General features: G+C 39.9%; 1 protein-coding gene across 1 annotated transcript in view; it reads left to right on the top strand.

Moving 5' to 3' along the window:
• Positions 1-25,917, top strand: part of KCNG3 (potassium voltage-gated channel modifier subfamily G member 3) — a 105,631-nt gene that overhangs the window by 57,264 nt on the left and 22,450 nt on the right. Inside the window, exons 3-4 of the transcript XR_007069666.1 lie at positions 21,169-21,236; positions 22,959-23,020. The gene's annotated coding sequence lies outside the window, so the exon portion shown is untranslated. The remainder of the gene's footprint in view (positions 1-21,168; positions 21,237-22,958; positions 23,021-25,917) is intronic.

Here is a 25,917-nt window from a genome sequence, read left to right as displayed (position 1 = left end):
GATGATAGATGGATACCTTCTTTTTATTCCCTGTTCTAGCTGTTTTCTGCTTTGCCCTCACTGTATTTGCGACTCACACTGTATTCTGTTTAATCCCACACAAGTGAGTGTTAAGCATGTCTTCACCATGCCAAGAGGCAATTGAGTGGCCAGAGAAGGAAATAAGGGTAGTTCCTGGGTACATGACTACCTTGACCAGTCAGTGTTATTGGCAGTGTGGCTCTGTAGACAAGCTTTAGTCTATCTAGCAAGAGTTTTTAGGGAAGTTTAAAAATGGAACTAAATAAATATGGGGTGGTCCTAACAATGCCTTTTTTAAAAAAGATGAGACATAATTCGTATGCCATACAATTTGTTATCTTAAAATGTACAGTTCTGTGGTTTTTAATATATTTATAGAGCTGTATAACCATCACCACTATCTAACTCCAGAACATTTTCATGTACCCTGTGCCCATTAGCAGTCACTACCCATTTCCACTCCACTCATCCCCTGGCAACCACTAATCTACTTTCTGTCTCTGTGGATTTGCCTATTCTGGACATTTCATATAAATGGAATCATATGATATGTGGCTGGCCTTTTGTGTCTGGCTTCTTTCACCTAGTGTCATGTTTTCAAAGTTCATCCATGTTGTAGCATGTATCAGTACATCATTCCTTTTTACGACTGAATAATATTTCCTTGTATGGGTAGATTGCATTTTATTTATCCATGCATCAGTTGATGGACACTTGTTTCTACTTTTTGACTGTTATGTATAATGCTGCTATGACATTCATGTACAAATTATCATGTGGACATAGGGTTTCTTTTTCTGTTGGATATAAACCTAGGAATGGAATTGCCAGGTTAGATGCTAATGTTTAACTTTTTGAGGAGCTGCCAAACTGTTTTCCAAAGCAGCTGAGCAATTTGATTCCCACCAGCAATGTGTGAAGGTTCCGGTTTCTCCACATCCTCCCCAACTCTTGTCATTTTCCTTTTTAAAAATAATAGCCGTCACAGTGGGTATGAAATGGTTATCTCCCTGTGATTATGACTTGCATTTCCCTAATGACAATGCTGTTGGTCATCTTTTCATCTATTCTTTGGAGAAATGTCTACTTAAACCCCTGCCCTTAAAAAAATAGGTTTTTTAAAAAAGTTGTTGGATTTTAAGAGTTGTTTATTCTGGATACAGATCCTTTTCAAATATATGATTTGTAAATATTTTCTCTTATTCTGAGGGTTGTCTTTTCACTTTCTTAGTGGTATGTATCATTTGCAGCACACATTTTAAATTTTGATGTTTCCCAATTTATCTGTTTTTTCTCTTGTCTCTTTTGCTTCTGGTGTCATATCTAATAAAGTGAAGGTCATGAAGATTTACTCCTATGTGTTTTCTTAAGAATTTTATTTTATTTTTTGAGATGGAGTTTTGCTCTTGTTGCCCAGCCTGGAGTGAAGTGCAATGGGGCGATCTCGGCTCACTGCAACCTCCGCCTCCCTGGTTCAAGCGATTCTCCTGCCTCAGCCTCCTGAGTAGCTGGGATTACAGGCATGCGCCACCATGCCTGGCTAATTTTTGCATTTTTAGTAGAGACAGGGTTTCCCCATGTTGACTAGGCTGGTCTTGAACTCCTGACCTCAGGTGATCCACCCGCCTTGGCCTCCCAAAGTACTAGGATTGCAGGCATGAGCCACTGCGCCCAGCCCTGTTTTCTCTTAAGAGTTTTATAGTGTTAATGCCTGTCTTTAGGTCTCTGATCCATTTTTAGTTAATTTTTGCATCTGTTATGAAGTAGGAGTCCAATTTTATTTGTTTATTTTTTGCATGTAGATATCCAGTTGTTGAAAAGATCAGTCTTTCCCCATGTAATGGTATTGGCACTTTTGACAAAAATCAATTGACCATAGATGTGTGGGTTTATTTCTAGATTCTCAATTCTATTCTAGTGATCTATGTGTTGATTTTTATGCCAGAACAAAAGATTGTATCTTTGTAGTAAGTTTGGAAATCAGGAAGTGTGAGTCTCTCTTACCTTTTTTTTTTTTTTTTTTTTTTTTTTGAGATGGAGTTTCACTCTTGTTGCTTAGGCTGGAGTGAAGCGGTGCGATCTCGGCTCACTGCAACCTCTGTCTCCCGGGTTCAAGCAATTCCCTTTTTTAAAAATTATTTTGGCTATTCTGGGTCCCTTGTATTTCTTTGTTTATTTTTTATTATTTTTTTCTCTTTCCCTCTCTCTCTCTTTTTTTTTTTTTTTTTTTTTTTTTTTTGAGACAGTGTCTCACTCTGTTGCCCAGGCTGGAGTGCAGTGCTCTGATCACTCCTCATTGCAACCTCAACCTCCTCCTGGGCTCAAAGGATCTTCCTGTCTCAGCCTCCTGAGCAGCTGGAAGCACAAGTGTGTACCACCATGCCTGGCTAATTAAAAAAAATTTTCTTTGTAGAGATAGGGTCTCCCTGTGTTGCTCGGGCTGGTTTTGAACTCCTGGGCTCAAGCAATCCTCACACCTTAGCATCCCAAAGTATTGGGATTACAGGTGTAGGCTACAGTGCCTGGCCATTCCTTGTATTACTATATGAATTTTAGGTTTGGTGTGTCCATTTCTGCAAAAAAATTTAGTTGGAATTTTGACAGTGAATACATTGAATCTGTAGATAAATTAGGGGGTAGCATCTTATTCATATTAAGTCTTCTAATCTATGAATATGAGGTGCCTTTCGATTCACTTATGTCTTCTTTAATTTCTTTCAACAATGTTTTATAGTTTTCAGTGTACAAGTCTTGCATTTGTTTGGTTTAACTTATTCCCAAAGTAGTTTATTTTTGTTACTGCAGTCCAAAGGCCAGAGAGCCTGGAATACTGATGTCCCAGGGTAGGAGAAGAGTGTCCCCAGCTTTAAGGAAAAGAGAAGAAATTACCTTTTCTCTGTCTTTTTTGTTGCGTCTGGTCCTTCAGCCAATTGTTTTTTTGTTTTGTTTTGTTTTGTTTTGAGACAGAGTTTTGTTCTGTCACCCAGGCTGGAGTGCAGTGGCACCATCACAGCTCACTGCACCCCCACCTCTCGGGTTCAAGCAATTCTCCTGCCTCAGCCTCTCAAGTAGCTGGGATTACAGGGGTGCGCTACCACGCCTGGCTAATTTTTGTATTTTTAGTAGAGACGGGATTTCACCATTTTGTCCAGGCTGGTCTTGAACTCCTGACCTCAAGTGATATGCCCCCCTCAGCCTCCCAAAATGCTGAAATTACAGGCATGAGCCACCACCCCTGGCCCTTCAGCCAACTGGTTGGTGCCTGCCCACATTGATGGTAGATCTTCCCCGACTCAGCCCACCGACTCACACACCAGTTTCTGGAAACACCCTCACAGACACACCCAGCAGTAATAATTTACCTGTTCTCTAGCTATTCCTTAATCCAGTCAAGTTGACACCTAAAATTAACCATCATACTTGTTGAATGCTTTATTAGCTATAATAGGATTCTTTAGGTTTTCTATATATAAGATCATGCCATCTGCAACTGGAGATAATTTTACTTCTTTCTTTTCAATCTGGGTATCTTACGTCTTTCTCTTATCTAATTGCCCCAGTTAGAACTTACAGTACAATGTCAAATAGAAGTGGACATCCTGGCCTTATTCCTGATCTTGGGGGAAAAATTGCAGTCCTTCATTGCTAAGTATGATGTTAGTTGTGGGTTTTTCCATAGATTCCCTTTACTTGGTTGAGGAACTATCCTTCTATTCTGGTTTGTTGAGTGTTTTTTTTTTGTTTTTTTGTTTTTTTTTTTTTTATCATAAAAGCATATTGACTCTGTGTTTTAATGAAGAAATGGACAGACTTCGTGAGTTAAGTTGTTGTACTGTCTATATCAGGAAATACATTTTGTTGAAGTTTTAAAATCTCTGCAAGAAATTTACCAAGTCGAAGCCATAGAAGTACTTGTTGATGGTTTTTAAACAGTTCTTCAATTGGTATATATTTAATGGTTTCTAAGTTCATTAAACTGATTCTCTTCATTAACCCAAGTTAATTTGAGTTTATGTTCACTTGCCTAAAGATATAGAGACACACAGACATGAGAGATAAAAGATTACTTGCTTCTGTTGGTTGGTTTATTGTAATACCTCTTTTTTACCTGACCTCATGCTTCTCAAACTCAGTTATTTCAGGTTCCTGGGAGAATGCTGGAGGTTGTAGATACAAGGTGCCTCTGTGTCCTTGAATCGTCAATGTTAGAGCTCTTTCAGTTCTCTTCCTTTACCTATCTTGGGGATATTTTGGCAGAAGAGCTGAGAAACAGCTCTGAATTTCCGGGAACTGGATTTCCCAACAGTGTTTAATCCTATCTTTCCATAGTACTTACAGTGAGCACAAGTACCACTGAATTACTGGGGTGGAGGAGGTATTCCAAAAACAGGACTTGATGGTTAATTAACCTTCAGCATTGCCCTAGGAAAAGTTTTGGGTTTTCTTGTTGTTGTTGTTGAATTTTAATCCTTTGTGTGCACAAAACAGGAGCATTTGCCTAACAAGTGTCACTTCTGTGCTGGGCACTGTGGGGTATACAGAGATGACCATCAACGGGCCTTGCCCTGACACCCTGAGAGATCCTTGTACCTGCAAAAAGCCCTTGAAGACCCATTCTGGGGTCCTTTACAGTAAGCCCAGATTTTTTTTTTTTTTTTTTTGATAGAGTCTTGCTCTGTCACCCAGGCTGGAGTGCAGTGGCATTATCTTGGCTCACTGCAACCTCTGCCTCCTGGGTTCAAGCGATTCTCCTGCCTCAGCCTCCCGAGTAGCTGGGATTACAGGCATGCACCACCATGCCTGGCTCATTTTTTGTATTTTTATTAGTGATGGGGTTTCGCCATGTTGGCCAGGCTGGTCTCGAACTCCTGACCTCAGGTGATCCGCCCACGTCGGCCTCCCGAAGTGTTGGGGTTAAAGGCAGAAGCCACTATGCCCTGCCCTAAGCCCAGATTTTTTAATGTAATTCATCATCATGAGTGTAATCATTGTGAAATTCCTTTAGGGAATTATGTTACTAAGATCAGTGGAGGAAAAGCTTAATATTATCTGCAAGCAACATTTCCTCAAATGGTTGGAAGCTCACTTGCGAGTTTCCCGGTTTTGACTAACTTTTCTTAGATAGAGCACCACTAGCATTTTCTCATGAGTAATATTTCTAATGTTGTTTTTGAGTGAATACTTACAGTTCTCTAATTTTGTACATATGCCCCAAAGGCCTTTGGTTAATGGCTACATTTTAAATAAATCTTGTGAATGTTCTAGGCAAATATTAATCTTCAATGCAAATGTGTATATCAAACCTAACGGAGTTATGATTCAAGATTTTGGGCACACTACATTTTTAATGTTACATATTTATTTAAAATGCTCAGGGAAAAAAAAAAGCTTTCAAAGAGAGATGTACTTTGCCATAACTGTAAAATAAATGTATTCAGTACTATTCATAACAGCTATTCTTAGGAATAGCAGGATCCCCAATTATTAGTCATTGGCTGCTTGAATAATGGCTACAACTCCTAGTAATGAAAATTATAGCAACTTTTTCATAAAAAATGTATAAATGTTTTATAATTTTTTTTTTTTTTTTGGAGACAGGGTCTCGCTTTGTCTGCCCAGGCTGGAGTGCAGTGGCATGATCTTGGCTCACTGCAACCTCTGCCTCCTGGGTTCAAGTGATTTTCATGTCTTAGCCTCCTGAGCAGTTAGGATTACAGGTGCGTGTACACCCAGCTAATTTTTGTAATTTTAGTAGAGACAGGGTTTCACCATGTTGGTCAGGCTGGTCTCAAACTCCTGGCCTCAAGCGATCTGCCCACCTCAGCCTCCCAAAGTTCTGGGATTACATGTGTGAGCCACCACTCCTGGCCTAAAAATCGGTCTTTTATTTTTGCTTAATACTTTCTTTGGTTTGTTTTTTTGTTTGTTTGTTTTGTTTTGTTTTGAAACAGAATTTCATAAGGTGGCCCAGGCTAGAGTGCAGCAGCATGATGTCTCATTGTAGCCTCGACCATCTGGGCTCAAGTGATCCTCCCACTCCCACCTCAGCTTCCCAGGTAGCTGGGACTACAGGTGTGTGCCACCACACCTAGCTAATTTTTAACATTTTTGTACAGACAAGGGCTAACTATGTTGCCCAGGCTGGTCTCAAACCTCCCGGGCCCAAGTGATCTTCCTGCCTTGGCATCTCAAAGTGCTGGGATTACGGGCATGAGCCACCTTACCTGGCCTGCTTAATATTTTTAAGTATTTTGAAAATAAACCTCTGATCCTAGTTGGTTAGCGTATTTATTTATTTATTTATTTATTTATTTATTTATTTATTTATTTATTTTTAAGACAGTCTGTGTTGCCCAGGCCTGGGTGCAGTGGCACAATCACAGCTGACTGTAGTGTCAACCTCCTGGGCTCAAGCAATCCTCCCACTTCAGCCTCCCAAGCAGCTAGGACTGCAGGCGTGCACCATGATGCTCAGCTAATTTTATTTATTTTTTGTAGAGATGAGGTCTCACTGTGTTGCCCAGGCTGGTCTTGAACTCCTGAGCTCAAGTGATCTGCCTGCCTTGGCCACCCAAATTGCTGGAATTACAGGCATGAGCTACCATGTCCGCCCCCCTAGTTGGTTACCTTAATAAAATTTGCTTAGAGAAAAAAATTGTAGCCAGCAGTCTCTCAAAAATATATCTTTCTCTCTGTATTTATAGACTCATTAGTTACAGGAAAACACAGGTCACTGGAGGTAATGGGGTGATTATTGTAAGGACACAACAGCAGCTGCCTGGCTGAGTCTGGTGGCTCTGTTCTCTTTCCTCCTGCCTCTCAGGGTCTGGCATCACTCTCACCCGCATTGTTTCTCTTCTTCTTTTCCCGTATCTTCTCTACTCGAGGTCCACTGGTTGATTCTCTTCATACTTTCCAGCTTCAGATTCCAGAGTAGCATTAGCTGAGTCTTACCATCACCTGGGTTGGGGAGAGGTTTTAAAAGCTAGGCTCCCTGCCCTGGGGGAAGCAGCCTTTTTGGGTGAGGTGATTGATGTGGGCATGGCAGTTTCTTTTAGAAGGAAGTGTTGGAAGTGCCATCCTATGGTCCACAGAGACTTTGTGCAGTGTCACACCCTGGCCCACCATGTTAATGACATTTTGCTGATTCGACATGATGAGAAAGAAGTAGCAAGTACTTAGATGTCGCAGTGATTGACCTGTCTGGTATACTCAAGAGTAGAAAATGAATTTTACTCTAAGCTCAAATTGCTGTTGGGATTAGCCACAGTTATAACAAAAATAAATCATTCTGTGGGCAGAGGCCATGGCTGATTTGTGGCAGTCTCTAGAAGGGTGAGTGTTTGAATTGAAGTCATTGGCATGTTCAGCTAATTACTAAATAAGCAGATTTCTAGATCTCTTCAAATAAAGGAGCATCTACCTTGGTATCTACACTTAAAGTTCCTCTCCCCTTGTACCACATTCTTTCCCCAACTGTTAGGACATTTTTGCAAAGGAGCAACTCTGTGAGATTGGCACTTGAGGGTGCTTCTTGCCTGTTTTTTTTTTGTTTGTTTGTTTTTGTTTTTTTGTTTTTGAGATGGAGTCTTGCTCTGTCACCCAGGCTGGAGTGCAGTGGCATGATCTTGGCTCACCGCAACCTCCCCCTCCTGGGTTCAAGTGATCCTCCTCCCTCAGCCTCCCAAGTAGCTGGGATTACAAGAGTGCACCACTACACCTGGTTGATTTTTGTATTTTTAGTAGAGATGGGGCTTCACCATGTTGACCAGGCTGGTCTCAAACTCCTGACCTCAAGTGATCTGCCCACCTCAGCTTCCCAAAGTGCTGGGATTACAGGCACAAGCCACTACACTCAGCGTCGTGCCTGTTTCTGTAGGAATCAGCAGGAGGCCCCACAACCAGGTGACACCTGACATCACTGTGGAAGTGGTATTTGAGTTGTGGATCTTTCTGATTACTTAGTATGCAGCTGTTTTAATGTTTATTGTTATTATTTATTAAGCTAGCTAGTCTTTTTGAATCCCCCTTTTTTCCCTTCTTTTGATCTAATTTGGAAATATAGTAAGAAATTCCTACCAAACTTCCCATTAGAAGAACATTTTTCTAGAGTGCTTGATTAAATTATTAGGTGAAAATAATTAGAGTTTTTTTCTCTTAATGTCACTGAGAGTTTGGTAGAGGAAATGAGTGCAGTAATTGTCAAACTTTTTCTTTTCTTTTTTTTTTTTTTTTTTTCCCGAGACCGGGTCTCTCTCACCCCAACTGGAGTGCAGTGGCACAATCTTGGCTCACCGCAACCTCTGCCTCCCAGGCTCAGGGGATTCTCCTGCCTCAGCCTCCTGAGTAGCTGGGATAATAGGCGTGCACCACTATTGTCTGGCTAATTTTTGTATTTTTAATGGAGATGGGGTTTCACCATGTTGGCCAGGCTGGTCTCGAAGTCCTGACCTCAAATGATCCACCTGCCTCGGCCTCCCAAAGTGCTGGGATTACAGATGTGAGCCAACATGCCCAGGCTAAACTTAAAAAAAAAAAAATCTACCTTGTTATTAGTTTATATTTGGGATGATGAATACTTTCTATTTTAAGGAAAATATTTTGAACATGAATTCAGTTAGCACTGAATGTCATTGCATCAGACTATTTAATAATTAAAAATACATAGACACTATAAGTCTTTGGACTAGAGCATAAATCTGGAGTACATTATTTTCCACTTTTTGTAGTAGTTAATTATTTTTTGCTTTTAGGGCCCCAAACTGATGGCTTACATGTTAATGTACCAAATGACCTATGACTTAGATTTGTATTATCCTTCATTTTAGAAAGCCATTGACTTGAAATCTCCAAAGATAAACTTTTAGGCCGTTTTTAACTTGAAAGTAAAGAACAGATTTACTTTTGTAAAGGTAACAGAATGTAGATTTTTAAAATATATTATGAATACCAAGTTATGGATTATATTCTATTTAAATTATTTATGTAAAGATAAATGTATGTCTGTTTTGCACTAAAAAATATCTTATGCATTCAACCATTTTTATACAATGATAGTTCAGTTTTATGTTGAAATAATTTTTTTTTTTTTTTGAGACAGGGTCTCACTCTGATGCCAGGCTTGAGTCCAGTGGCGAGATAATGGCTCACTGCAGCCTCAACCTCCTGGGCTCAAGTGATGCTCCCACCTCAGCCTCCCAAGTAGCTGGGACTACAGGCACATGCCATGACACCCAGCTAATTTTTGCATTTTTTAATAGAGATGGGGTTTTGCCATGTTGCCCAGGGTGGTCTCAAACTCCTGGGCTCAAGCAAATCCACCTGCCTCAGCCTCCCAAAGTGCTGGGATTACAGGCATGAGCCACCACTCCCTGTCAGGAAACATTTTTATTTTGTGCATTTTAAATTTGATTTTTAGCTTAAGTTTGATCAATAAACTAACCACCTCACTATCCCTCGCAAGACCAAGACCTCTTTCTTTAGTTTCAGAATACCTTGAATTTTGGTGCACATTTTTGCTATTTTCAGAAAATACATCGAAGTAGCCTTATATCAAAGGTAGCCTTATATATGGAGAGCCTTATGCAAAGATATTAGAGTATTTAATTTCTAGTTATTTTTTCTAGAATTGAGAATCTCGGGTATTTCTGAGCATATAAGAACTTTGAGAAGAGTTCTCTAGTTATGGGTAAAATATATTAAGTACATTGAGAATGTCTTTACATTTTCTGACATTTGTACTTACATTGAGTAAAGTTATACCTCACTTTCTTGGTTGATACTGTCATTTGATAAAATTCATCAGTGGATAAATTGCTATGTATGTGTGTGATAAAGATACTTGCCTTAAAATAGAACACTTCTGTCTTGCAAACAGTTTATGGTCAAATTGCCTTTTCAGTTACTGTTCTTTCCATGCACCTAGTGAATTTAAGTCTGATAAAGTCCCTGGATGTAAGAAAGAAGATGAAATGTCTTTTCATTGTTAATTATCTGCACCTGGATTAAAAAGTATTTTCAACATGTGAAGACTTTATGGAAAAAAATAATATGTGTGTGTTGTTTGACTTTTACTGCTAAAGACAGCAAGTGATTGAACAGATAAAATTATGTATTGGTTTTAACCATTATTTTTATTGACCCTATCCTCAATGAGAGTATTCAATTGTGTGTGTGGTCAGTTGTACTATTTTCACTGTATATACATAACTACTGTTAACTGTCATCCTTAATGGCCATTGTATATGTCATGGAAGGATCAGATGTACTGTATCAACCAATGGGGAAGATAATGTGGATAGAAAAGATTGTATTATCATTTGGGATTTAAGGTAATAATTATGTTGTTTGGTAGGCGTTTTAGGAATGATGGTTTAAATGGACATAGCTTTTATTTTCTAATAAAAATATTTCAAATCAGCTCAATTTGTGTGACATTTTCTATTTTAATATGGGATTATTAAAGTATGCAGTCATTTGGGTCATAACTTTCCTCATTCAGGTGTGTTATTTAGTATTTGTCAGATCTTTAATAGTATCTTTAAATGGGCATCAAATATTTGATTAATTTATGGTTGGAGCTTTTTAGCATCTTCAGTTCTTAAGGAAATAATATTTTATAAAAATTAACTTTGTTATAAGTATGTTGTATGCACATCTGAAAAAAGTCTCTACAGCTTGAACATTTGAATAGTTAATGAATTTTGACTTTGAGAACCACCTACAGCTGATACTAAATACATGCTACTATCTATTGCGTCAACTTCAGCAATTTGTGTACAGTAGTTCATTCTTAGTGGACTTACTTCCCTTTTGTTCTGAACCAAAACTTCACTTTGCAATAAACTACTGGTGAATGAAGCACAAAGGTGTCTCCTGGCTGTGACAATGTCTCTGTTGGTCAGGTAGCCTTGAATCAGTCATTTGATCTTTGACCCGCTTTCATATTCTGTTTTTCTCCCTTTTAATTACTCTTCTTCTCCGTGGTAAGAATATCATTAATCAACACGAGGCAAGTTTCCAGGTCATGATGATGGGTACCTATAGGCACGTAGTACATGTTGAGTTGAATCAAAAATCTTGGAAATTATACCTTCTAAATGCTGCTGTTTGTTTATAGTATGTTCTCTGTTTCAAAGATGCCTGCCAGCCGCTTTCAGTTCTCCTAGTAAAAAGACCACATGATCCTCCTCCCACTCCCCATCATCCCTCTATTTCTCTTCTGCCCACACTCTACACCCCGCATCCCCACTTCCTGGAGGAAATAATTCCTGATTTGATTTTTTTTTTTTTTTTTTTTGAGACGGAGTCTTGCTCTGTCGCCCAGGCTGGAGTGCAGTGGCGGGACCTTAGTTCACTGCAGCCTCTGTCTCCCGGGTTCAAGCGATTCTCGTGCCTCAGCCTCTCCAATAGCTTGGACTACAGGCGCGCCACCACGCCCCGCTAATTTTTTTTTTTTTTTTAGTAGAGTCGGGTTTTTGCCATGCTGGCCGGGCTGGCTGATTTGATATTCTTGCGTTGACAGTGGCCCACCGGTGGAGCAGCTGCCCCCAGACCCCTTGACCCGGTGGTGCTTCCACCCTGCCGGAAGCACCTTGTGTGGCCCCGCCAACAGCATGGCGGTTGCATCCCCAGGAAGCAGGCCCGCAGCGCCAGGAGGGGGTTTCCTGAGGACAGAGGCCCTTGTCCTGATTGTCGCAGCAGGCCCTGTCGATGGACTTAACTGTGAAAATCACCCTTTCAGGGGTGGATGCAAGGACTTCTGAGGGCGGAGAAGTAGATACCTTCCTGGATAGCTGTGGAGCCGGGGTCCTGCATTTCCCTCTGGCGTCTCTGCTGACTGAGATGTGAAGCAGTCGGCCCATGTCCCGAGAAGAGGTTTCCTTTGATTTATTGCTATTAAAGTTGTTGCTTTGAGAGCTGGGCATAAACCATAAAAACAGTGGGGAATCACAAGAAATTTGTGATAATTGCATTTAAGACAGGAACCCATTCGTCAGGTAACACTTATGTGCTATTAATCAGAGCAATGGTTTCTAAGCCACAGGGTTTGCTTCTCATTTGAGTTCTTCTTTATATTTTATTTTTGGAACTAATCAGGTTTTTGTTTTCTCTTGGGGAAAAATAATAGCAAATGTCAGACTGAACATTATGTGTTTGGATTATTTTCACAAATTTAAAAGAATTAAGAGCCAGTGTGCATGGTTGAACTTTTGGATACCTGAGAAGATAATTAATGTTTTGGGTTTTTTTTTTTTTTTTAAAGGGACGGAGGGGGAATTTTCATAGTCTATCCCGAACCCCCATCTTTCATTGATGTCTTAAGCTGACAAGGTGATGGATATACCAGTCAGAAGTCCCATCATCTCTGTCCCCTGTAAATCTGTGGCAAGGTTGTCAGAGCACCTCATTTTTTTGTGTTCAGGCTGTGAATACAGTGAGGTTCTGACGAATGTTTGGACAAAAATGAGTTTTGGCACTCAGCTACAAGAGCAATGTAACCTTTTCAAGGCCAAGGAATTTTTTGGTGTGTGGGTGGTCCTTCTGTCTGCTGAAAATGTTGAAATAAGCCGTTTTACTTTGCAGAAAGTAGAATCCTGAAGGATTTGTGGAAAGTAGAATCCTGGATTTGCAAAGCTGGAGGTGGGGGTCTTGAGCCTAAAGGCTCTGGGGAAAGAGGATCTTGAAGTTGACTTTACTTGGGCAGTAAGTTATTTTACAGGAGCTAGCTTGGAGAGATTGGACATATCTTCAAAATGAATTGATTTTTAAAATGTATCAAAATAGTATAATCCACATACTAGACAATGTGGAAAATGGGGAGGAAAAAATAAGCACATACTTCCCTGTCATTGTAATAAGTTACTGTCATCATCTGCTTTTTTTTTTTTTTTCCTTTCACCTCATTTCCGACTGTGCGAGGCTCTAGCCACATATGTGGAAGGTACACTCCCCATTCATAAAGAGCTCTTGGGGGAAAGTGACCAGTAATAAAACATTGAAGACGTTTACAGGTAGGGTAAAGATTATGAAATAGATGCTGTGAGATCGCAGAAGACAGTTCAGGAGTCAAGGAAGGCTTCCTAGAAGAGTGATTCTTAAATTCAGTTCAGGGAGACAGACCCTTGACGATCTGTGACACTTATAGGGTTCAGCATGTACCAAAGCAAGAGAAAGTGGCATGTTTTGGCAGTTGCACTTGGTTGGGTAAGTGCAGAGAGAAGAGAGTGTGTGAGGAGTGCTGTTGGGTGGGCAGAGGTCAGATTAGGAAAAATCTCATGTGCCAGCCAAGAAGGTGGGCTTCACCCTGCAGGCAGAGAGCCACTGAAGGACCTAAGTCAGGAAAAACAGGGTTTGTGCTTAAGGAGGATTACTCTGTCAACTGTGTCAAGGGTGGAGAGAGACTGGGGACAGTGGGACCCATTAGGGAATTACTGTGGTCATCATTCAAGTAAGAGGAAGCAATGGGAGTGGTTTCCGTAGCAATAATGAGAGAGAGATAGAAAGAGAGCAGCTTTTGGTGGGAAAGAGTTCCATTGTAGATTTAATGATTGGAGGAGCCTGGGAAGTATCCAAATGGAAATATCAAGCCGACTGTTGGCTCTGTGCACTGGGGAGAGGTTCTGTCTAGAGTGGTCCAAATGGTCAGGATTTTGGAATCCTTGGCTTGTAAGATGGAAGTGGAAGCTAGTTTGGAAAAAGATGTGAAAAGTCCCTCTGTAAGAGTGTTGAGGGAGTGGAGGAAGTAACCTAGGCTTGGTCCCTGGAGACCACCAAACTGGATAAGAGGAGGAAAGGGGGTTGAAGGGCCCAACAAGGAGGTGGGGTGTTAAATGGCTCCTCACAGTCAGATGTTCACTGGTTTCAGCAACTAGGCGCTTATGGGGGCTTTGCAGAAAGCCATTCTGGTGGCTTAGGGTGCAGATGCAGGTTACAGGCTTCTTCATAACTATGGCTATAAATATGGTGGAAATATAAACATCATCCATATTAAACCCTGAGCTCTTCCCTCCTACTATGGAGTCCTCATAGCCATTACTTCTAATTGTCTGCCTTTAGGTATACCAGAAGTTATCTATTTCTTTAGATAACAGAGTCTAAAGAAATGGACCAAAGAGTCCTATCATTTTTATGGCTTTTGAAATACATTACCACACTGATTTTAAGTTGGGATGTACTGATTAGGAGTATTGTCAGTGTCTTAGTTCATTCTTTCTTGCTATAACAGAATACCACGGACAGGGTAATCTGTGAACAATAGAAGCTTATTTGCCTCACCACTCTGGAAGCTGGGAAGTCCAAGATTGAAGGCCCTCTGGTGAGGGCCTTCTAGCTGTATCATAACATGGCAGAAGGCATGGGCAAGAGAGAGAGAGGGAAGAGAAGCCAAGCTCATCCTTTTATTAGAAAACTACTCTCAAGATAACAGCATTAATCCATGCATGAGGGCAGATCCCTCATGTCCTAATCACCCCTTAAAGGTCCCACCTCTCAACACTGTTACACTGAGGATTAACTTTCCAACACATAAACTTTGGGGGACAAATTCAAACCGTAGCAATTGGTAATGTTTGATACTGTCGGTTTTACCACACCCTCATAAACATTGGCTTTTACCTCATTAAATTGTTTTCTGGTTTTACCACACCCTCATAAACTCTGGCTTTTACTTCATTACATTATTTTCTTAATGCAACAGATTAACAATGGCTTCTCACTGTGTCTCTTGTAATAACATCTTGGTTACCAATGACTATATGTTACAATCACTTTTAGTTACTAACCAACCAGATTAAAAAAACGCATATTGGATTGGTAGTTTAAAGAGGAAACAGAAAACAAACTTGTTAAAGCATTTGTCCACTGTGTGGGGCTGACTGCTCTTCTGCTGTGGTCCTGGATAAAATGCTTCATCTCTCTGGGTCTGTTTCTTGACTAAGATAATTTGTTGATGTTTTCTCTGGGTTTTTTCCCCAATTCTAAGATTCTGAGGTATTTTGCTCTGTTCTCCATTTGCAACTCCTAGTGACTAGGAGGGTATGGGGCCCACAGCTGGCCCCAAATAAACACTGAGAAATTGACTGAAAATTTTGATATGATCAGAAAAACATATTAGGCCTTAGAGTAGGAAGATATTACCAACAGAACAATAAGAACTCTTGTTCATTAAGAAAAAATAAATAAATTATAGATAATAAAAAAGAAGAAAATAAAAGTAATCTGTCATGCTATTTCCACGATCCTGCTCTGCTGTTTGACTCACTCCTGATTATCCTTTAGGTCTTAGTTTAAACGTTCCTTTCTTGGGGACTTGTTGACTGAACCCTATAATAGATTAGGTTCATCTTCTCTCATCCTGTTGATCTTTCTTTATTATTGTCACTTCTGAATTATAAATGCTTTACCAGAACAGCAGCCTTATATGTGTGATTAATTACTGTATCCCCAACACTTAGCACAGAGGCCAGCACATAATTGTTGCTCAGTAAATGTCGAATGAACACATAAATTCAAGTAATCATTTTTAACATTTTGGCATATTTCCTTTTGTGCTTTTTCCCTGTGAATATGTCTGTATATCAAGATAAAACATCTCAAAAATGAGATCAGTTTATACTATTGTTTCATGATTTGTGTTCTACTCTCATTGAGTCATTTTTGTGTGGTAGCGTTTTATGGTGAGTCATTCTTACTCATAAAGCTGCCCTTTTTGTTTCTAACAACATACAGTTGAGCAATGGGTGGTCTGGGCTAAGGATACAACCTGGAACTTAGATTGAAGAAATTGGTCAATTCAATTTTTTTAAATGGTCAATATGTCTAAACTGATAGGTTGTTGGAGAGGTCAGAATGATTTGTCACTGAGAGTGCTGGCCCTGTTGGTTTCTTTTTTCTTTTTTTTTCTTTTGAGACAGAGTTTTGCTCTTGTTACCCAGTCTGGAGTGCAATGGCATGATCTCGGCTCACTGCAACCTCCGCCTCCTGAGTTCAAGTGATTCTCCCTGCCTCAGCCTCCCGAGTAGCTGGGATTACAGGCATGTGCCACCACGTCCGGCTAATTATGTATTTTTAGTAGAGATGGGGTTTCATCGTGTTGGTCAGGCTGGTCTGAAACTCCTGACTTCAGGTGATCCACCTGCCTCGGCCTCCCAAAGTGCTGGGATTACAGACATGAGCCATCTCACCCGGCCCCCTGTTGGAATCTGAATCAAGTGCCAAGGAGGTTGAGGAAGGGCAATGATGACTAGCCTTTCTAGTGCACTTCCACTCATGTGATACTGCATAGTCTTTGCATTAATTCTGTAAGGTAGTTATTATTAACCCCCTCTTACAGATGAAGAAACTGTCTCAGGGTAGTTAAGTAACTTGTCCAAAAGCACACTAGCTCTTTGTAGCACAGCTGCAATTCAAACATAGATGTTCTAACACTGAGTCCTCTTTTATTTTATTTTTATTTTTTATTTTTTGAGACGGAGTTTCGCTCTTTTCACTCGTCACCCAGACTGGAGTTCAATGGTGTGATCTCAGCTCATTGCAACCTCTGCTTCCCGGGTTCAAGCGATTCTCCTGCCTCAGCCTCCTGAGTAGTTGGGATTATAGGGGCCCGCCACCATGCCCGGCTAATTTTTGTATTTTTAGTAGAGATAGGGTTTTCACCATGTTGGCCAGGCTGGCCTCGAGCTCCTGACCTCAGGTGATCTGCCCGCCTCAGCCTCCCAAAGTGCTGGGATTACAGGCATGAGCCACCGTGCCCAGCTGGGTCCTCATTTTATGTAGATTATGCAGATAGTAGTGTGGAAATCTCTGGTTACAGACTGACCGGCAGTCTCTGCTCTCTTGCTAGTAGTGCTGGCCTTGAAATCAGTTCTGCGATTTAACCCTGATGCACATGACCTGTTGTCTCCTCATTGCTGCTGTTTGTTAGTTTTGGATAGTTATTTTATTCTGTTGAAGTTATGTCTACAGAGCCAGAACATGAAATAAGTAGATGATCTTACTTTTAATCAGAAGGCTGAAAGTTCAAGCTGTATTGAGTAGCTGAGTGCTAAGGTTGGGCTTTCCAGTTCTGGTTTAGCAAACCTTTGATTCAGTTTCCACTTCCTTAAGTCCAGCCTTTTGCAAGGATATTAAGAAATACCATCTGAGGGCTGGGCGTGGTGGATTACAGGTGGGATACGCCTGTAATCCCAGCACTTTGGGAGGCCGAGGCGGGGAGATCACCTGGGGTCAGGAGTTCGAGACCAGCCTGACCAACATGGCGAAACCCCATCTCTTTAACTAAAAATACAAAAAATTGGCCGGGCATGGTGGCAGGTGCCTGTAATCCCAGCTACTTGGGAGGCTGAGGCAGGAGAATCGCTTGAACCCAGGAGGCAGAGGTTGCAGTGAGCCAAGATTGCACCACTGCACTCCAGCCTGGGTGCCACAGAGTGAGACTCTATCTCAAAAAAAAAAAAAAAAAAAAAAAAAAAAAAAAAAGAGATACCATCTGAGCTTTATTGTGACCACCTGGGAAATAGCAGCACATGCGAATTTCCACAGGCCTGTCAGGAACATTACACGGTCTGAACAGCTAAAACGCACAGTAGCATTTTTCAGTTAAAAACCAAGAGCAGTTACACAAGGGTAGCATTTTACTACTGAAATGAGGCTGAATTTGAGTACATTCTTAATCATATTTAGACTCAGAGAATGCAGTGCTGGGATAAGCTTCAGCTTTGTTCAAAAAGGACTGTTATTACTAATAATCATTAATCACTATGAGCCATAAAATCTGATACAGAAGACTAAGGTAATTAAAGGAAGAAAAAAGTGAATATTATGTGCAAGATTCTCATTTGGTCATATACAGCTTCCTGTGGTGTGATTTTAATTTTTAATAACTACTCTTCATTTATGGTGATTCTATGGCTGGCTGGCTACCAGTGGAGCCTCCCTAGGTTTTTCCTAATAATTTTAAAAATCACATTTGTGTGCATACTTCAAAATAGTTAAGATGGTAAAATTTATGATACATGTTTTTAACCACAAAAAACCCTAAACCCACACATTTGCAATGATTCATTATCTCTCTTGAGCATCTCTCTTCTGATCAAAAAGAAGCATTTATTTTAAAAACTCTTTACTAGTTTTAAAAATTACATAGAAATTGTTGCAACAAATTTAAATAATAAAGAAATATACAAAATGAAGAGTAAAAGTTTTCCTCATTCCAGATTGAACTCAACAGGCATCCACTGGTTGTGGTTTATTTGCGGTATTTTTTCTCTAATAGTATGTTTTTGGGTACTTCTAGATCAAGAAAGCACAGTGACAGTAGCTGAAATGTGGAAAACAACCCAGCTGTCCATAAACAGATGAATGGATAAACAAAATGTGGTCTATATATGCAATGGAATATTAACCTTAAAATGGAATGAAATTCTACATGCTACAACATGGGTGAACCTTGAAAACATAGTAATATGTGAAATAAGACATGTAAAAGGACAAACATTGTATGATTCCACTTATGAGGAGTTATTATTGTATGATGGCTATAGAGTTTCTGTTTGGAATAATTAAAGAGTTATGGAAATAGATAGTGGTGATGGTTAAACAACATTGTGAATATACTTAATGCCACTTAATTGTTCACTTAAAAACAGTTAAAATGGTGATTTTGTGTCAGTATATATATATTTTATTTATTTATTTATTTATTTTTATTTTTTATTTTTATTTTTTGAGATGGAGTCTCACTCTGTCACCCAGGCTGGAGTGCAGTGGCGCGATCTCAGCTCACTGCAACCCGCACCTCCTGGATTCAAGCAATTCTCCTGCCTCAGCCTCCCAAGTAGCTGGGACTACAGGCGCACGCCACCAAGCCCGGTTAATTTTTGAATTTTTTAGCAGAGACAGGGTTTCACCATGCTGGCCAGGCTGGTCTCAAACTCCTGACCTCATGATCTGCCTGCCTTGGCCTCCCAAAGTGCTAGGATTACAGGTGTGAGCCACCACGCCTGACTTTGTGTCAGTATAGTTTACTACACAAAATAAGAAAAACAATGAGCACGTAATTTTCTATACTATTCTGTAAACACAAATGGTGGCTCACGCCTGTAGTCCCAGCACTTTAGGAGGCTGAGATCGGCAGATCACTTGAGCCCAGGATTTCAAGACCAGCCTGGGCAACATAGTGAAACCCCTGTCTCTAGAAAAAATACAAAAATTAGCCAAGTGTGTTAGTGCGTGCCTGTGGTGCCAGCAACTTGGGAGGCTGAGGCAGGAGGATCACTTGAGCCTGGGAGGTCAAGGCCCCAGTAAGCCATAATTGTGCAGCTGCACTCCAACCCAGGTGACAGAATGAGACCCTGTCTCCAAATCTTCCTCCCACCACACACCTACAAATGATAAATACTATGATAAAAATGCAAATATTTTTTAAATGCAAAAAAAATTATTTTTTTATTTTTTGAGATGGAGTCTTGCTCTGTTGCCCAGGCCGGAGAGCAGTGGTGCAACCTCAGCTCACTGCAACCTCCACTGCCCAGGTTCAAGCGATTCTCTTGCCTCAGCCTCCCAGGCAGCTGGGATTACAGGCACCCACCATCACACCTGGTTAATTTTTGTATTTTTAGTAGGGTTTCACCATGTTGGCCAGGCTGGTCTCCAACTCTTGACCACAAGTGATCCACCCACCTCAGCCTCCCAAAGTGCTGGGATTACAGGCATGAGCCACCGTGCCAGGACGAATTTATGTTTTTATATAATTAATATATTTGTGGGGTATGACATGATGTTTTGATTCATGTATGCATTGTATAGTGATCAAATCAGAGCAGTTAACATATCTGTCACCTTAAACATCTATCATTTCTTTTTTCTTTTTTTTTTTTTTGAGACAGGGGACTCACTCTGTCACCCAGGCTGGAGTGCAGTGGCGCAATCTCGGCTCGCTGCAACGTCTGCCTACTGGGTTCAAGCAATTCTCCCACTTTGGCCTCCTGAGTAGCTGGGATTACAGGCATGAGCCAATGCACCCAGCTAATTTTTTTGTATTTTTAGTAGAGATGGTGACCAGGCTGGTTTTGAACTCCTGGCCTCAAGCGATCCACCTGCCTCGGCCTCCCAAAGTGCTGGGATTACAGGCGTGAGCCACCGTGCCCAGCCTAAATGTCTATTATTTCTCTGTGATGTGCACATTCAAAATCTGGTTATTTTGTCTTTGCCATTGTGTTTTTCATGATCTTTAGGTTGTGTTTTGTTTGTTTTAGACCGCATCTTGTTGTGTTGCTCAGGCTGACCTTGAACTTCTGGGCACAAGCAATCTTCCTGCCCAGCCTCCCAAGTAGCTGGAACTACAGGCATGCACCACTGTACCTAGTTTCTAGTTATTTTGAAATATACAATATATTATTGTTAACTCTAGTCATCTTGCTATGCAGTAGAACACCAGAACATATTTCTCCTATCTGTAGCTTTGTACTCATTTATTAACCTCTCACTATTCCTCCTGCCTTCCTTTGTCTCCAGGCTGGAGGGCAGTGGCATGATCTCAGCTCACTGCAACCTTCACCTCCCAGGTTCTAGTGACTCTCGTGCCTCAGCCTCCCAATCCCAGCTGATCCCAATCAGCTGGGATTACAGATGCACGCCACCACACCCAGCTAATTTTTGTACTTTTAGTGGAGATGGAGTTTCACCATGTTGGCCAGCCTAGCCTCGAACTCCTGACCTCAAACGATCCACCCACATCGGCCTCCCAAAGTACTCAGATTACAGCCATGAGCCACTGCGCCCGGCCTCTACTCTCTACTTCTATGAGGATAGTGTTATAGATTCCACATATGAGTAAGATCATGCAATATTTGCCTTTCCATGCCTGGCTTATTTCACTTAACATAATGTCTTTCAGGTTTATCCATGTTGCTGCAAATTTTTTATGGCCAAGTAGGGTTTTTTGTTTTGTTTTGTTTTGTTTTGTTTTGAGACAGAGTCTACTCTGTCACCCAGGCTGGAGTGCCTAAACCGTATTTTTATATAGATGGCTTAAAGTTTATGTCAGACTTTGGACTAAGTTATGCAGTAGTAGCTAACAACTTCCAAGTCTTAATGCCTTACAACTACAAAAGTCTATTTCTTGTTCATGTTACATGTCTTTTACAGGTTGGCCACAACTCTGTGCCACATCCTCTTCATTTTAGAATCCAGGATGAAGGATATGCCCTTATCTGGTATGTTGCCATTCTGGGTCAGAGGAAAAAATCATGGAAGCATGAGACTCTTAAAGCTAGTCATATAACCTAGCCTGACCTTATTGGGATGGGAAAATACAGTCCTCCTATAGGAAGGGGCAGTGATTATTTGGGAGCAATAATACAGTTACTATAGGGTTATAACCAGAAATAAGATGCTTGTCTTGGCCATGGAGGAAGGGAAACATCTGTACATATGAGACCTCACTATAAGGTAGTGCATGATCTGGAATCATGCTATCTGAATGGGGCAACACCTCTGAGCCCTAATGTGGGGCCCAGCTCAGATCCCTGTACCTGCTTAGGATGGAACACAGCACCACAGAAATCACTTAATAAGAAAGGGCACAAGGAAAAAACTCCCAAGATAAGCTCTCAAACATAAATTACAAAGTGTTTGAGGAGGTTCAGCCCTATCAAGGAAAATCTACAAATCCAACAAACAGGAGAATTTATATCAAGAAATATAAACAGTAGGCCCATCTAAAAGACATTAAAATAAAAAGTATGCTTAAAATGCTTAAAGATATAACAGATGAACTGGTATCAGTGAAGTAAGATCAGGAGGCAGTGAAACAAGAACAGGTAGATGTGAAAAAGATAGTCATTGAAATTTAAAACTTCTAGGCTGGACATATTTGAAGAGAGAATTTGTAAATTGGAAGATGGAACTGAAGACAACTCTTAGAGTATGGAACAAAAAGGTAATCAGTTGATGTCATGGAGGATAGACTGAGATATTTTAGCCTACACAAATGAGGGTTTCCTAGAAGGAAATAATAGAGTGAAGACAGCAATATTTGAAGATAGAATAGCTAAGAATTTTTCAGCATTTAAAAAGGGCACAAATTGTCAGGTTGAAACCACTAAATGCTGAGACAGACTGCACAAATATAAAAAAAAAAAAAGAAAAGAAAGTACATTTAGAAGATTGCAGTGAAATGACAAAATATTGGAAATAAAGAGAATCCTCTTAAAAGCTACCAGGAGGTAAAGACAGATTATCTACAAAGGAATGACAATCAGAATAACAGTATGCTTATTTTTAGCACAAATCATTGCCAAAAAAACAATGAAATAACAACTTCAGAATACTGAGGGAAAATAATTTGAACTTTGAATTTCATACCCAGCTAAACTGTCAGTAGAGTGTGCATAATAGAGATATTTTAACACACACAAGGACCAAAAGAACTTACTACCAACAGACCTTCACTGAAAGGACAACTAAAAACTGCTTTGGCTAGAAGAAAAATGAATCCAAAAGGAAAGAGCATGATGCCACAAGAAAAGGTGAAAAAGAGAAATTGGTAAAACATGTTGACAAACTTTAAATAAAATAATAATTATAATAACAACAACAACAGTTTTTGTGTGTGTATTTAAAGGCAAGCTGATAATTACATTCTAGGCCAAAAACAAGTAGGTATTTCAGAAGAAAGCTAAAGAATGTTAAGATCATTGTTTTGTTCAGAAATACTGGTTAGCTTTAGACTTTGCTGGAAAAATACTGATATGGTTTGGCTGTGTCCCCCGCCAACATTCATCTTGAATTATAGTTCCCATAATCCCCATGTGTCATGAGAGGGACCCAGTGGGAGGTAATTTAATCATGGGGATGGTTACCCTCATGCTGTTTTCGCAATAGTGAGTTCTCACGAGATCTGATGGTTTTATAAGGGGCTTTCCCCACTTTTGCAGGGCACTTCTCCTTGCTGCTGCCATGTGAAGAAGGACATGTTTGCTTCCCCTTCTGCATAATTGTAAGTTTCCTGAGGCCTCCCTCCTGTGGAACTGTGAGTCAATTAAGCCTCTTTCCTTTATAAATCACCCAGTCTTGGGTAGTTCTTTATAGCAGTGTGAGAACGGACTAATAAAAATACAAAATAAAAGGTTTAAAATGTAAGTGATATGACTAGAAGACTAGAAATAGAATATATAACTTCTTAATCATTAGAAGAAGAAAAATGGAATAAAGAAAATTTTATCAGTCTGGTAGAATGCAAGAGAGAAAGAAAAATGTGATAAAAAAGAACAGTAAATAGAAAAAAACAAGATGGCCAATCTATATCCAGGTATGTCTGTGATCACTATTAGTATATTGCTATTAAATTCCTCTATTAAAAGCAGAGACTCTGACTGGATTTTAAAAATACTATTTATGAGGGACACTCCTTGGCTATAATCTCAGCTACTCAGGATGCTGAGGAGGGAGGATTGCTTGAGCCCAGGAGTTTGAGACCAGCCTGGGCAATGTAGTGAGACCCTGTCTCTAAAAATTAAAATAGAAATAAATTACCCAGGCATGGTGGCACACACCTGTAGTCTTAGCTATTTGGGAGGTTAAGGTGGGAGCCCAGGAGTTAAAGGCCACTGTAAACTATGCAGGAGTTGAGCCCTGGGGATAAAAGCTGCAGTGAACTATGATTGCACCACTGCACTCCAGCCTGGGTGCATTCTAGCCTGCCTGCACTCTAGCATGGGTGACAGAGTGAGACTTCATCTCTAAAATAAATAAAAATAAATAAAAAAGAAAGAAACATTTCTAAAAAATGTGACGTAGTAATTAAAAATAAAGGAATGGAAAAAGGTATTTCAGACGCCAGCAGGGAAGAAAACTGAGTAGCTGGGGGTGAGGTGTGGGAAGAAAACATCACTGAATGCCCTTTTAAATTTTGAACCATGTGAATGTATTTCTTTCTCAACAAACAAAATTCTCAATTACTAGTATAAGGAAAGTTGGTGTAACAATATAGTATAATATAAATGATAAAATAATGTTATCAGGCCAAATAACATTTAAGCAGAAATATGCACAAAGGTTATTTTATCTCACAGAAAGAAACAGTCTACCAAGAAATAAGAATCATGCATTTCTTTACATCCAATAAAAGCGTTAAAATATATAAAACAAACCTAATAGAATTTGACAAATTTACAATCATAATGGGAGATTTTAACACACTATCTAAAAAATCGATGTCTGTTTTTACACATACAAACATAAGGTATAATGACAGAAGGTGAACCTAGTACTATAATAGTCACACTAAAGAACCTTGAATCAGTTTAGGAAACCAAAGTCACTCCAAGAATTTCAAGTACAAAAGAAGATGGGGAATTAGCTGCTTCCAAAATAATTAGGCCTTCACATATATAATTTTGAAAAATTGCTTGTAACAGTTTCTGGCAGCTAGTATGTATTAAATGAGTGTTAGATAAAATTTTAGAAGATACATAAAGTTGAGGACTGTCGTGGGAGTAATGATTTCAAAGTCATATCATCATAGCTGTAATTCAGATGTCAGGAAGCTGTCACTGCTGCTGCCACCACAATCTTCTCATGTCCACAAAGGTAGTGACTAGACACTGGAATATTGAGTCCAGGGGTAGTCAGTTCAACCTGGCTTGCCAGCCACCACAGCAGGAGGACAAGGGGCTCCACGTCTTTTCCATCTTCCTGCTCTTGTATGTATGTATGTATTTGATTCATCAAAGCTAAATCATATCTAGAATTTGCTGTCACATAGTCTTGGAAATGTGATTTATTTATTTAGCCTTTCAGCCCTTGTATTTCAGTAGGAAACAGAGAAGTAGATGAGAATGAAGGTCAAGTACCAATTGATGGTAGCAAGTACAAATAACTAGGAATCAGTTTAATGAAAAATGTATGAGACCTGGTTGGGCGCAGTAGCTCATGCCTGTAATTCCAGCACTTTGGGAGACCGAGGCAGGCAGATCACTTGATGCCAGGAGTTCGAGACCAGCCTAGCCAACATGGCAAAACCCTGTCTCTACTAAATATACAAAAATTAGCTGGGAGTGGTGGTGCACACCTGTAAGCCCAGCTACTAGGGAGGCTGAGGCATGAGAATTGCCTGAACCCAAGAGGTGGAGGTTGCAATGAGCTGAGATCACGCTACTGCACTCCAGCCTGGGTGACAGAGTAAGGCTCTCTCTCTCAAACAAAAAAAAATATAAGACATGTATGAAGAAAACTTTAAAAATAGCACTGAGGGACACTAAAGGAGACCTGAACAAATGGAAAAACTTTGCGTGTGCTTGGATCAGAAGACTAAGCCTCATAAAGACTTCAGTTCTCTAACTTAATTTATAAATGTAATGTAGGAGCAATAAAAATGCTGACACTTGTTTAAAACTAGATATGCTGATTCTAATATTCCTATGGAAAAATAAACAAGAATGGCAAGAATAAAATTGAAAAAAGTAAATCAATGAAGGGGAACTGGACATACCAGATCTTAAAACACTTAGCCCTCAAAAATGAAAACAGTTGAGCATTGATGAATGAATAGACATATCAATAAAACAGAACAGAAAATCAAAAAGATTAAAATGCATGAGAAAATATCTATATATGTTAAGAGAACTATCTCAAATCAGTGAATAAAGGATAGACTACTCAATAAATTGTATTGAAACAGTCAGAAAGTTATCTGGAAAAAGCAATTGGCACCCGCAAAGCATACACCAGAAAAACTCCCAGTGGTTAAAGGTTAAAGATAAATGTACAACATAAAGCCATAAAAGTACTAGAAGGAAACATAGGAGAATTCCTTCTTAACTGTGGCATAACGAAGTAGTCTTTCCAACCTTGACTGTACAGTTTTGCATTGCAGAAAGAAAGAAAGAAGCAAAG

The sequence above is a fragment of the Homo sapiens genome, chromosome 2, assembly GCF_000001405.40.
Source record: "Homo sapiens chromosome 2, GRCh38.p14 Primary Assembly".
Taxonomy (NCBI): Eukaryota; Metazoa; Chordata; class Mammalia; order Primates; family Hominidae; genus Homo; species Homo sapiens.
Note: the sequence above shows the minus strand (reverse complement) of the source record. Positions and strands in the feature narration are given on the sequence as shown.